General features: G+C 36.0%; 1 protein-coding gene across 1 annotated transcript in view; it reads left to right on the forward strand.

Annotated features, from left to right (window-relative positions):
- PEX3 (peroxisomal biogenesis factor 3) overlaps positions 32-14,907 on the forward strand; it is a 39,812-nt gene continuing 24,936 nt past the window's right edge. The window contains exons 1-3 of the mRNA NM_003630.3: positions 32-342; positions 8,312-8,443; positions 12,143-12,224. Coding sequence (NP_003621.1) covers positions 270-342; positions 8,312-8,443; positions 12,143-12,224 — 287 coding nt within the window. The 5' untranslated portion in view covers positions 32-269. The remainder of the gene's footprint in view (positions 343-8,311; positions 8,444-12,142; positions 12,225-14,907) is intronic.

The raw sequence follows: 14,907 nt of genomic DNA on the forward strand, positions 1-14,907 counted from the left end.
TATTTCTGAACGGACCTGGGCTTGTCGGACCAGTGAGCGGCGGCGGCTGCGCGGCGGCAGCGGCAGAAAGCGTAGCTGCTTTGCTGTAGTCCACGCCCCCTTGCCGCTCCGGTGACAGTCTCTGCGGAAAGTCACGTTTGTGATTTCGGGAGAGCACAGAACGGGACGACGGCGCTCTTGCTGGGTCATCTGGGCCAGGTGACGAAGAAACAGTTTCCTGGTGAAGCAGTCCCTCACCCCTAGTCAGCCCACACCCCTAGGGCCTAAAGATGCTGAGGTCTGTATGGAATTTTCTGAAACGCCACAAAAAGAAATGCATCTTCCTGGGCACGGTCCTTGGAGGTGGGTGACAACGTGCTTGAAAGGGGGCATTGGGAGAAGGGGGTGGGAGAGGTGACTTCTTCTAAAATAAGGACAGGCCGGGCGATCCTAGTCTGGGATATGTAGAGGGAGTTCGATCAACCATGGGATGAAAAGGGAGGTGGCCAACCTCCAGGGTTCTCCCATCTCTGCAGTTGAGAAATGCCTCTGTGCCCTTTGCCCTGTCACCGACTCTTAACTCTGTTTCTCACCTATCCTTTTTTCTCACGGACCTTTGGAGAACTCATCACAGTTTAAGTTTCTGTTTCAAGGCACCATTCTCTTACAGGAACTTTTTAAAAAAAATTCTGCTTTCCTGTGAGATTCTGCATTTCTCCTTGGCACTCTTGATACTTTGGCTCTCACCCTTCTCAGGAGTTTAATAATAATCTAGGGAAGTTACCTATAGGCTGCACTTCGGGTGGTGGTTAAAGTCGATTTGAATTTTTGAAAACAGCGCAGTTGTCCTAAAGGACTGAAAGATATGGATTAGATAAAGAAAAACAAATCAATATTTTAGCTCTGTTTCTGCCATTTTAGAATACAAACTATGGCAGTAAGAAAAATGCTTGAGGGATGTTGTGCAATCTTCCTCAGGATCTTCAAGGTTGGGATCATTGTAATCTAGCTGACATAACTGAGTTGCACAGGCCCAGAGGAGATTTAGAAACAGATAAGATAAAAATCTTGAGACGCTTTTCCCTCATACAATGCTCATGTGATAATATTCAGGGATTTGAAGGAGGGAATAAAAGTTTTGTGAATTATATGAAAAGGACATCTAGGAACTATAAAAGAGGAAATTTGTTAGAACTTGAGTTTTTGAGAAATAGTCTCATCACTTATTACATGCTATGTTTACAAAAGTACTTAAAATCAAGAACAGAGTTTCCCAAAGAATTTGGTTGGCTTTTCTCTTAGTATTAGATTGTATTCTGTTCTCCCCAAACAATTTGAAATTAACAGTACGTATTAGATTGTATTCTGTTCTCCCCAAACAATTTGCAATTAATACCTTTAGCATCAATAGTTCAGATTTTGGTGATGCTTGAAAGTTTGAAACAGAGTTCTTGTTGCTGAGCCAAGGATGGTGTTTTGCATGTCTCTGAGGTCTATCACACATCAATAATAAGCATATGTAAATTTTGAACACCTTCGAGAAATCCTTTATATATAAAAGGTATTTTCTGATATCTTCAGTCGCTAGTATCTAATGTATATTTAAATTATCCTAAGACTACAGAGTCCATTTTATTTATAAAAGCTAAAAATATATGTGTGATTGAAGAAATACAAATAAAGTATTTTTGCGTTTACTGAAGGAAGGAAAATTATCTCTTTAGCGATCTCAGAAGGAATACTCCTTCAGCTTATGGAACAACTTTGTAGTAGATTAGAAATAATCACAGGGGAAGCAAAAGAGTATACTTAAACTTATAATTTTTTTAAAAAACTAACAAGAGCTTTATAGTTACAGAATAAGAGGAATGCAAAAAATAGAAAAGTTCAGACGGCCAGAAAGAGAAAATAATCCTAGTGTTTTATATCAAAAAAGGAGTCAGTCTGAAAAGAAAGGAAGAGTAGATGACCGTGGTTGGCATTTGTTTGAGTCTCATGTTCTTTCTGCTTCAGGGAGAAAGTTCTACAGTGTGTTAGATTTTAATTAGTCTAACTTAAGAAATACCTATCAAGTGCCTGTAATGCTGAAGGTAATATAAATGGAAATACAAGATTTATATATTTTTAATAGTAACAGCTACTATTTATTGGGTGCCCACTTTACGCTGGGCATTGTGCTAAGCTCTTCCTATTTAAGCAGAATGACAAGAAGACAATTATTATTATCCCCATTCAAAAATGTGGCAGCAAGAACCCTAAGAATTTAAGAAACTTGCCTCAGGTCTCAGAATTAGTGAAGGGGAACTGGAATTCAAACCCAGGTGTGTTGGACCACAAAGCACATTCTATTTCCATATTATATCACTGTGCTTTCATGGCCTTTATAGTCTGATAGGAAGGAAAAGCAAGTATACATGTAATTAAGATACAGAAAAACAAGAGAGGTGAAAAAATGCTGTACAGATCACACTGGCAAGTAGCATATGCAGTTGTGAAAAATCAGGAAGAATTTCATGGAAGAAGAGACACATTTTGACAGGCTTGAAAGCTGGGTAGTATATCAACAGGCATGCGCAGAGAAGTTTGGGCATTCAATAGTGGGGGAAGTAAGTAAGTAAAACCTTGAGTAGCAGGCCTTCTTAAGTAACAATTTCTGTTTCCTCAGATTTTGGGTGGGTAACTAATTGGTTTACGCGTTTGTATAATTTGACCAGTTTGGGGGGTTTGGGTGTGTTCGGGTTTTGTGTTTTTTTGTTTTTTTGTTTTTCAGACAGGATCTTGCTCTGTTACCCACGCTAGAATACAATGGTGTGATCGTAGCTCACTGCAGCCTTGTTTTCTCCTTTGCTAGCTTTACAATGTAAGGCAAGTAGAAAGGCTTCCTTATGAAGATTTGCCTGACATCTTCACACTTTCCTCACTCATGCGATCCTCTCACCTCAGCCTCCCAAGTAGCTAGGACCACAGGTGTGCACCATCATGCTTGGCTAATTTTTAATTATTTTGTAGAGACAGGGGTCTCACTACATTGCTCAGACTGGTCTTGAACTCCTGGCCTCAAGCAATCGTCCTGCCTCAGCCTCCTAAAGTGCTGGAATTACAGGCATGAGCCACTGAGCCTGGCATAATTTGACCAGTTTGTGAAAAGACTAGAGAATTGACTCCCAAACTTTTTGATCTAAGGTCTCCTTTACACTCTGAAAAATTAAGGACCCTCAAAAGCTTTCTAAATTTTATATCTATTAATAGTTATGATATTCAAAATTAAAATGAAATTTTTTAAAATATTAATTCATTTTAAAATAATAAACCTATTACATATTAACATACATAACATTTTCAAAAAATTAATGAGTGTCATTGTTTTACATTTTGCAAATCTTTTTAATGTTTGGCTTAATTGAAGAAAGCTGGATTCTCATCTCTTTCTATATTCTGTCAGTTGTGGTATCACACATCATGTAACCTCTCAATTACTCCACTGTATACGCATGAGAGAATGAGAATGAAAAAGGCAAATAACATTTTAGTATTATTACGAAAACAGTTTTGATTTTATAGACTCCCTGAAATGGTCTTAAAGACCCCAGGGGTGCCCATGCCACACTTTGAGAACCATTGCACTGGAAAAAGTTTTGGAGAACAGAGAGCAACCAGATTGATATTTATTGACTTACTGGTTTCTGAAAACCTCAGAACATTGACTTGGATTTATACCTTAAATCCTGTAATCTCTGGCTTCACATTTTTTATTCATTCATTCATTCATTCTGTCATTGAACAAACATTTGAATGAGAGTAAGTGACTGATCTCACTGTACTTTACTCTGGAAATACAAAGGAATAAGACAGATCCTGACTTTGAACTCATGGTACAGAAATGGAAATAAAAGTAGTATGATAGTATAGTACAAAAATAGAGCAGGGTGTTGTGGGAGCATTGATGAGAAGAAAGTGTGAAGATGTCAGGCAAAGCTCCATAAGGAAGAATTTCTGCTTAAGTTGTAGAGCTAGCAAAGGAGAAAGGACACAGAAGGAAAAAGAGCAATTCAAGAGGTTCAGCAACATTGCTTTTTATGAATGAAACTGTATTTCACTATGGCTATGCAAATGAGAAGTGGCAAAAGATTAACTTGGAAAAGTAGCTAGAGTACAGATTGTGAAGGGCCTTATGAAGCCATTCTACATAATTTGGACATTATCCTTTGTATTGGTGCTTGCTAGAGTTTACTATGGATAAAAAAATCACTTAGGGAGCTTAATAAAACATAGGATCCTTTATTCCAGATTCTGATTCTTTAGGTTTAGAGTGCAGTTCAAGAATTCCTTAATTCAGCAAATATTTATTGCGTTCTGAGTCCCAGTCAGAGTTTATGTACTGGGGATGCAGCATCATGCAAGATAAGACATTTGGGGGTATTTTCTTTTCTTTTCTTTTCTTTTCTTTTCTTTTCTTTTGAGACGGAGTCTTGCTCTGTCGCCCAGGCTCGAGTGCAGTGGCTCGATCTCGGCTCACGGCAAGCTCCGCCTCCTGGGTTCACGCCATTCTCCTGCCTCAGCCTCTTGAGTAGCTGGGACTGCAGGCGCCCGCCACCACGCCCGGCTAATTTTTTTTTTTTTTTTTTTTTTTTTTTTTGTATTTTTAGTAGAGACGGGGTTTCACCATGTTAGCTAGGATGGTCTCGATTTCCTGACCTCGTGATCCGCCCACCTCGGCCTCCCAAAGTGCTGGGATTACAGGCATGAGCCACCGCGCCCTGCCCATTTAGGGGTATTTTCAAGGAGTGTCTTTAAAGGCTACATTTTTAATTGTCCCAAGTGATTCTAATGTAAGTGGAACAGGGAAACCACATTAAGAAATGATGGCAAGATGTTGAAGGATTCTAAAAACATGAGTGATATGAGATTTATGTTTTAGAAAATCACTTTGCATATATAAGATAGGTTAAACAGGTGTGTGACCAGAAAGTGAAGAGTTAGGGACCTATTGAACCAGTTCAAGAGCATTAATTTTTAGAGTCTAAGTGGTGACAGTGATAAAGAAGTTGTAGATAATTGGCAAGATTTAGAAAATGTGTCTGAAATAGAATCAGAATACTGTAGTAGGATTTTGTGATCTGTTGGATTGGGAACAATAGGTTATTTTCAAACTTTTTTTGAAATTATTAACCTTGTGAAATAGTTGCATTGTAGGGATTTTCATCCAGAAAGAGAAGACTAAGAGATGGTTTTAAAACAACTGAATTGTGGAAAGACTAGAAGTCTTATTTTCTAGTAATGTTATTAATGGAAAACTCAAAGCATTTGACATTTATTTTTTAAGGTATTTAGTAAATATTTTCATTGTTAATACATAAAGTCATAGCTACAAAAGAAACATTAAAGCTCATATAATCCCAGTCTTTCATATTGAGGATGAAGAAATTTAGACACAGAGGGAGGAAGGGACTTTCTCAAAAGTCACATAACTACTTGATACCAGAGCCGTCAATATCTCCTGTTTTCCAGGCTAGGCTGCCAGTCGAGTATATAGATAGTCATGAGCTCCATGTTTTAGCTAATGAATTACCTGTCCTCATTCTTATTTTTCTAAGGGAACAAATCTGACAAAATCAGAATTTATGAGCCTGGATGAATTAGACCTTGTATAAGAACTTAGTTCAGTGCTAAAATCAAGAAAAATAATGGATTGTGTGATTTTAGCCTGATTTCCAAGTACCACAAAATGGGCGGCTTAAGCAGCAGAAATGTATTATCTTACAATCCTGAAATTTAGAAGTCTAAGATCAGGATTGGTTCCTTCTGCAGAGTGTAAGGGAAAGATCTATTCCAACCCTCTCACCATGGCTCATAGATAGGCATCTCCTCTGTTTTTGCTTTGTCTTCCCTCTGCAATTGTCGATGTCCAAGTTTCCTTTTATAAGGACAAGTCTTATTGAATTAGGACCCACCCTAATGACCTCATTTTAACTTGATTACCACTGTAAAGATTCTATTTCCAAATAAGGTCACATTCTGAGGTGTTGGGGCTCCCATGGCAATTCATTTTCTTTTTTAGTTTAGTTAGAATATCAAAGTGTGGCTAACTAACTACTCTGTAATGTTCACATTCTGATTTCACGTTCAGGAAAATTTCGCACTCAGGAAAACTGACTTCCCCTCAGATATAGACCAAATGTACACACTTATATCATACTGCCTATGCTGAAATGTGTTAAATAGCAGTTCCTAAAAAAAATCATCAGATTTGTTGAGACTCTGATTAAAGCAGTGGACCTTCTCCCCAGAGAAACACACCAATCAAATTTACTATTGTTAAAGAAAAAAATTCTTAGCTGTGCAAAAAGTGTCATCTTAGTGTTGATTTTACAGTATAATTTGAGAAATAATCATTTTACATGTAACTTTCAGTAAGCTGTTGTGCAAATAAGATACAAACAATTCCTTCAGATCTATTATGTCAGAATTGCCTGTCATAGAGTAACTTTGTGAAATGTAAGTCAGTTTCCTTTGTTGGTATTGTAGCACTATCATCAGTTTCTTTAGAATGGAGTACAGGAAAGGTAGCCATGTAGCCACTTATATGAACTCTCATTTCTTCTTTAAGCTTGGTTATAATACATTAATTGCATATAAACATAGCAACAGCAATCATACTGTAGTTCTAATTGTTTTTAGCACATACCCTTTTACTGAACTACTATTTTTAAGAATATGTAATATCTTATCAGTTCACCTATAGCACCTGTATTAGTGAAAATAATTCAGGATATGTATTTGTTTTGCAGTTGCTAGAGGGCTACCCACTTTCTACCTGTGACAGACCAAATCTAATTACTTAGGTCATGCACAATTCTTAGGTTATGTTTAGTAGATACTGGGGGTCACAGACAGTGGGAGGTAGGTGAGCATTAGTTAATTCCTTACAGCCTTGCTCTCAGGTTATAATGAAACCAAGTTCTGGCACACTTAAAAACATCTACTGGCAAACAGAGATTAAAAGTAACACAACCTGTTCTGTAAGCTTATTGAAGTCCCAGTGTTCTGCCCTTGTTTCATGCTACCGCAGAACTGCTTATAAAAGATTTACCTGAAGAAAATGCAACAATATTCTAGCTGTAGGATTTGGTTGGCTACCTGGTTAACTCAGTTGACTAAGAATCCTTTGAACTAGCGGCTAAGGATCCCAGGCAAAGGTGAAGGACTTGCTTGATTTGTATATTCTAGTTCATATGAATATTACTAAAATGTTTTAGCTAGTCCAGTATCTTGAAAACCATTAATCTATGAAAATCCATTCCTGATAATCATTATGCTAATCAAAAATATTTGGTGCTAAATCAGTGATAAAAGCTAGTTGAAGAGCTTAAGCTTTGGAATGTGGCTTTTGATCAAGTGTGGCTAACTAACCACTCTGGAATGTTCACATTCCCAGCTAGGAAAACTGACTGCCCCTCAGATATAGACTAAAATGTACACATATATATCATACTGCCTATGCTGAAATCTGTTAAATCACAGGCCACATGACACCACCTATATTCTTATCCTGTGGTGTTAGAATTTAGGAGTTTCTGTACCCTCTTCCCTCTTTTTTTTCCAGTTAAGTTACTAATTTTTAGATGAGAGAGTTGTATTTTCTCTCCTTATCTCAAAGAGATTTTTCTAACACATGGATGGATAAATAGACTTCTGCCTGACTAACTACCTTTCTTTCATTGTTCCTTTTAAAATTTTTATCTTATAGTTTTAAAAAGCATTTTGTGTTCATTGAAGAAAATATAGAGGACAAAATGACCTGTTATCCCACCATTCAGCAATGATCATTGTTTGTTATATTTTAGAAATTAAAACTCACCTATTTTTTGTATCTGTTTCCATTAAAAAAAGTAACATTTCTGGGATCTTATTTTATCACCTAACAGTATAACATGGATATTTCCTTGAGTCATTATTTAGCAATGTGGTTTTTAATAACTACATAAGATTTCGTTGTATGGCTAGACTATCATTTATTTAAACAATTCTCCATTGCTGGACATGTAGAATATCTCTAGTCTACTAGTAAAGGCACTGCCAGACTTTTTAGATTTAATTCCTTTCCCTTCCTCAAACCTGGTCCTTATGTGCCCATCATTTCCTCTGTCATTGGCTGTAAAAATGCTAATTTCCTTTTCTTTGGGCCAATCTTACAAAATTCTTTATTTAGGTTTTAAAAATGTAATTTTAGCTATCCACTAATATAAAACTTATAATTGCATAAAGTAGGTTAAAAATACTGTGTAGAATTTTTGGTACTCTAATGAATATAGTACTTTTTTAATGATTGTAGGAGTATATATTCTGGGGAAATATGGACAGAAGAAAATCAGAGAAATACAGGAAAGGGAGGCTGCAGAATACATTGCCCAAGCACGACGACAATATCATTTTGAAAGTAACCAGAGGACTTGCAATATGACAGGTAAGACAGAGAAATATTTATACATGTGTAAAGTTGTTTGACGGTTGTATTAATTTGCATATCACCGGGATCAAATTTAGAGGAAAAGGCAAAGAAAAGATGGTAAATCTAGCAAGTGTTTGAATGATTTAACTGAATTACATCATTTTAATGTGAATTTTAAAAATCAGTTCATTCATTTTATTTATTCATTTAGCAAATACTTGTATCCAGGCCTGGGGAAGCAGGAAGTGAACAACAACAACAAAAAGCCCCTGACCTTTGGAGTTTATATTCTAGGGAGAGGAAAAGATGATAAACAACAAATAAGTAACTTTAGGCAGTGATGGCTGCCATATGGAACATAAAGCCATGTGAGGGCTGGAACGTTCTTTAAGACAGGGGATCAGTAGAGTCAGGTTTCTTTGAGGTAACATTTGAGCAGAAACCAAATGTTACAATGGAGGGAGCCATGTGAAATGCCTGAGGCGGGAACAAGCTTGGTACTCTCAGGACACAGCAAAAAGGCCATGTAGCTAGAGCAGAATGAACAATGGCAGTGATAGGAAACAAGGCTGCAGAAGTAGGCTTGATCCCATCGGGCCTGTGGGCCATAGGAAAGAGTCATTAAGTTTATTAAATTTACAGTAGGCAACTATAGACCTGTGAGTCGTCCACAATAGTATACACTCAGGCAATGTTAATTAATGGCAATAATTTAACCTCCAGAGCTAGAAACATAGTCCTGGGAGAATGCCATCACAAAATCAACCTGCCCATATTTGAAGAGAACAGTGTGTCCTAACTGGCATAACTGAAGAATTAGTTCTCAAATCCATGCAAAGCCTGTTTTTCTTTTCTATTGTTTAAAGCTTACTCATTTCTCTAACATTCTTTCAAGAACAATTAATTTAGAAACAATTTATAAAGGTACATTCTCCTTATTTAATTTTAAAATTAGAAATTTTTTAGAGTTAAAGGCCTTTATTATTAGTTTACTTACCTCATTTTACTTGAGGCTGAGATTAAGAAGGGTAAGAGGCACATCCAAAATTACAATTGGAGTATGATTTTTAATATTTGAAGTAGTAATACTCAGAAAAATACCTTCATTCTGCAAAGCGAATAGTAATCATAAATACTATACATAATGACAATTCTGAGAGTAAAATGAACATTATAAAAGCCACTTCATAAATGTTTTGTGAGGCCGTGATGAGATAATGCCTATACAGTGCTTGATGTATGATAAATACTTGGTAAATGATAACTTTTTAAATTTACATTTAGCATTCAATATATTGCCACTGCCTAGGACATTTTAATGAATTTTTAGGGAATGGTCCATTTCTGCTTATTATTTGAATTTTCAAAAAATAATAAAATGGGCCAGGCATGGTGGCTCACGCCTGTAATCCCAGCACTTTGGGAGGCCGAGGCTGGTGGATCACCTGAGGTTAGGAATTTGAGACCAGCCTGACCAACGTGGAGAAACCCCATCTCCACTAAAAATACAAAATTAGCCGGGCGTGGTGTTGCATGCCTGTAATCCCAACTACTTGGGAGGCTGAGGCAGGAGAATCACTTGAACCTGTTAGGTGGAGGTTGCGGTGAGCTGACATCACACCATTGCACTCCAGCCTGGGCAACAAGAGTGAAACTCTGTCTCAAAAAAAAAAAAAAAAAAAAGTAAAATGTAGCTGCTGGGGTCTTAAAATACATCGCAGTTTGACATGGACCCTTGTGTCAGTTTGGGTCCCCTGGGAAGCAGATGCTAGGATGGGATTAGATGTACAAGAGATCTACTAGTAGAAATGCCTGTAAAGGATAAAGGGGAAGGGAGGCAGAAGAAGGCAAGCGAAGCATTTAGGCCACAGTGCAGGTCTGACATTTGTGAAGGGAAAAAGACAAGGAAGGAAGAAAGATTAGGCAAGAAGAGTCTCAGACTACAGCACAGTTCTAAGAAAGCATTGGGAGACCATGAAGAGTCTGCAAGCCAAAGTTTCTGGTAGAGGAGACCTGCAGAAATGGGCCTGCTTTACTGTGCCCATACAAGCAGTGTCATTGGCTGGGAGCAGTGCAAACATGGTGATGGATCCAGAGCAGTGGCAGATGGGGTTGTCAATTATGTATGCTCCTCCAGCAAAAGATAGGGGTCACACGTTTCCATGATGCAACCCTAAGATGAACAAATAGCTGACTATAGGCAATTAAAAGTAAAATATTTAATCTCTAAGAGCCAAAATATAGGTTCAGTGAAACTTTCCAAATTAGCTTTCTGCACATTCTGCATTTTTTGTACAATTCATAACATGAGCAATGATAATGGTGTTACAAATAATATCAAATTTCTATTCCTTTGGATAAGATGTAATTGATATACTAGAAAAAAAAAAAAAGAGTGCTTTGGGGTAAATATAAGTAGTTTTCTTACCCAAGAAGTTTTCCCTTTTAGAATGTGGTGTTCATAGCCAGGTGTGGTGGCTCACACCTGTAATCCCAGCACTTTGGGAGGCAAAGGTGGGAGGATTGCTAGAGCCCAGGAGTTCAAGACAAGCTTGAGCAACATAGTGAGACCTCATCTGTACAAAAAATTTAAAACATTAGCTGGTCATGGAGGCCCACGCCTCTAGTCCTAACTACTCGGGAATCTGAGGCAGGAGGATCGCTTGAGCCCAGGAGGTCAAGGCTGCAGTGAGCCGTGATTGCACCACTGCACTCCAGCCTGGGTGACAGTGTGAGATTCTGTCTCAAAAAGAAAAGGAATGTGGTGGTCTTCATATTTTTTCATTTTGTTATCGTTACTTTTTTAGGGTTTAGAGACTCATTTTACATTTTTATATGTGTATTCCTCCATTTCTTTTTTTCTCTAATCCCATGACAGATTCTTATTCTCCAGCATTTCTTATTCCACATGTAGAGCCATAAATAAACTCCTAAAAATCACATGAAGTTTTTTTCCCATAGATTGCTAGTCTCATTTCATCTTCACATTATTCCTGGGAGTAAGAAACAATAACAAACAACAGCCACTGACAAAACTAAAACTAAAACTCAGCAACTTTTAGTTTCTAACCCAGTGCACTTTTATTTATGTTATAATAAATGTTTATTGCTTTGTAGTATTACAAACAGTAAACATGTACAATAAACAGTAACAAATAATACCCACTGACAAAACTAAAACTCAGCAACTCTTAGTTCCTAACCCAGTGCACTTTTGTCTAGGTTATAATAAATGTTTATTACTTTGTAGTATTTAATAAACTTTTTAAAAATTAGAATGAAAAATGAAGGAAAAAGTATAGCTGAATATAAAAATGCTTTTGATCATTGTCATTAAATCAGAAGTAAACACTTTTGTAAAAAATTTGGAGAGTATGGAAAAGAAAAAAAAGGAATTGTTCATAATCCATAGCTCAAAGACCACCACTGTTAAAATCTGAGAATAATTCTTTCTATTGTTTCTTCTGTGTGTACTTGTGTTGCTGTGATCATAATGTTTATATAATTTTGTTAAATTACATAAGCAGATAAATGATTTGTTAGGATATAATCGTTTTATAATAATAATAATAATTTGAATCGTCTAGCCCTGACTTTCCCTTCTGACTCTTGCTAGTTGCTAGCCCTATCATATAGCCTAAAACAATGCGCATTTCTTAGTGAGGGCAGTCATATCACTTGTGACCTTTTTTATTTTTTTTGTTTGTATTACAGTGCTGTCCATGCTTCCAACACTGAGAGAGGCCTTAATGCAGCAACTGAATTCCGAGAGCCTCACAGCTCTGCTAAAAAACAGGTAAATGCAAGTTACAGCATTTTCTGTTTAAGCACTACACTTAAAGTTTATAGAATGAACTGATAGACTTTTCAAAAATCTTTGTTATTTTTCTATCTAATGAAAGTTTATATAGGCTCAGTAAGAAAAATACTAACTATATCATTTAACCTACATTTAATTTTGTCTATGCTCTACTTTTTTGCATAAAGCATTCAAGGCAATGATATTTGTATGTATTGTTTTTCATATAAATAGACCTTATAGCACTTTGAAATTGTTCACAAATTTAATTATGCAGTGCTTGTGAAATGTGTTCCTGAACCAGATGCTGTGAAGCTAACAAAGTTACGTTAAATATTGTGCTTCTTTCTGAAAGAGCTTACGGTGTAATACAGCATGTGAACATACGTTTTAAATAAATAAGATATACAGGACTTATATCTTAAATTACTAACAAAATGAAATACAAACATAACATGAGCATGCAATACTAATAATTTACATTGCCATGGCAGTTTGCTGTTTCCAAAAGCACTTTCACATATGTAACCTTGTATATTGCATGTAGCATGTGTTGGGGTATTGTAATTTGGTATGATACTGTATTAGTTTGAGAAGACTTCCAGCAGGAAATGGCTTCTTATTTTGATGACAATGATGGGAGGGTGGGCAGGGAAATGGTTTCACTAAATAAATGTTAATCATTGTGGCCTTCCTAAAATAATCACTTGCCTTTAATCACCCTTCAAATAGCCAGGGGAAAAGTAGTTCTATTTCTAAACTGTCTCACTGTGCTAGCCCTGGTGCTAGGTACCTTCCATATATGCTCCCACTTAATTTACACAATATCCCTGTGAGGCGGTTACTATTATTCATTTTGCAGTAGGAATTGAGTGCTCAGACAGGCTACATAACAAGTGGGGAATTTTTTTAAAAACACTTACTATATTCAGAGAATACTTCCCAAAATAACAGTGGATTTGTGTACTTGAGATTTCTTTTATCTGATTAAAACAGAATGCTAGTGATGGGGGTTTTCCATTTTAAATTTCTTCATTCTTAGAGGTAGACAGACCTTCCTTCCTTCTTACAGATATAAGGTTTAGCTTATAAATTAGTTCATACAGTTTTATGAAGAAGAAACATATAAGCAGATTGCTTTTGATCAAATAAATAATTACCATTTGTGTGTACATAGGTAGGAATTGAAAAGAAGTAGATTTTAATTTCCTTTTTGTCATGATGAGAAGGCAAGACAAGTTAAATAAGTGAATAGCATTTTTATACAAGCAACATAATACAGATAAAATAATCGTGGTGGCATTCTTCCTTCTTGGTGAATCTGTTTCCTGCAAGGCCCTATGTTCCATGTGCTTTAGGGGATTTAATAGTTAAGATCAAGTCTCTTTAAGACCTTTTCATCCAAAGGAGGAAGTAGACTAAATAAATTATCGTAATTCCGGACATATTTAGTGCAATGACAAAAAGTAAAAGGAAAATTTAGGAGTATCAAAAAAACCAAAGGATTAATTTTGATAGATTATCCTGGACAGCTTTAAAGAAAAGATGTGATTCTTTTTTTCTTAATCGGTACACAGGGAGGAGAATTTCTTAAATTCTGGAGAATTTAAGGTGGGCCACAGTTCTCCTCATTCAGTTTCCTCTTTAAATATCTCAATGTTACTTCTTCTTGGCTTTCTTTTGATTTGAAATTACTATTTGTAATTTGGTGGGGGGAGAAGGGTAATATCCATTTGAAAAATATTTGCATAAATAAGGGCTTGATCCCTTACAAAGTATCATTAAATAAGGCCTCCAATCTTATGACTGCTTTTATATTAATTTTATATGAGACTCTGGTCTCATATAAGCCTGTTGAGCAAGTTTTTTTTTCTTTAAACTATTTGTGATAATAACTAAGATAATAACTAATGAGAAATAAGTAGATGATTTGATAGTCTTATTTTGCCAACTTCATAACAGCAAATAAACAGTTATCACTGTTTTTGATATTTGGCACTCTTCTTGAAGACTGATAATGGCAATGAAGTTTCAATGGCAAAAACAAAAAAATCTTAAACATCCTCCATCATAAGAGAAGTAGAACACTTCGAAAAGATTCGTTTAATTCTCTTTACTTTTTATTTCTCCATGAAGGTATTTTAGTGACATTAAAGAGTCTGGTTGTATTTAACTTGCAGTTGATTTCCATCAAACAAATCATTTGAAAGGAATATTTGTGTTGAAGGTACTTTTCTCTGTTCTACATAGATTTGGAATCTTTTATGTAGATTTTGGAGTTTTTTAAAAAAAAATAGCATCAGTATTTAAAAATCTACTTTTAAGGTCTAATAATGTTAAGTGTAAACATGAAGAAATGTCCTGGGTAACTATTACTGTCTTCTCCCACCAAAATCATCCCAAATAAAATACAGTTTTTTGTTCGTTTGGTTTTGGTTTTTTTTTAGATAGAGTCTTACTCTGTCGCCCAAGCTGGAGTACAGTGGCACAATCATGGCTCACTACTAAGCACTTTCTATATTGAAATTTTCGGAACCACTGTTTTCTTATCTTTTTTCTTTTAGAATTTTTATAAGAAGTACTTAGAAATTTTTCTGAGGGAGCATTCAAAAAGAGATATGAGTCACTTAGGATACATTAAATACCTCACCTTTGAATTGTGGTTGATTCCCAGTTTAAT

This window comes from Homo sapiens, chromosome 6 (genome assembly GCF_000001405.40).
Source record: "Homo sapiens chromosome 6, GRCh38.p14 Primary Assembly".
NCBI lineage: Eukaryota > Metazoa > Chordata > Mammalia > Primates > Hominidae > Homo > Homo sapiens.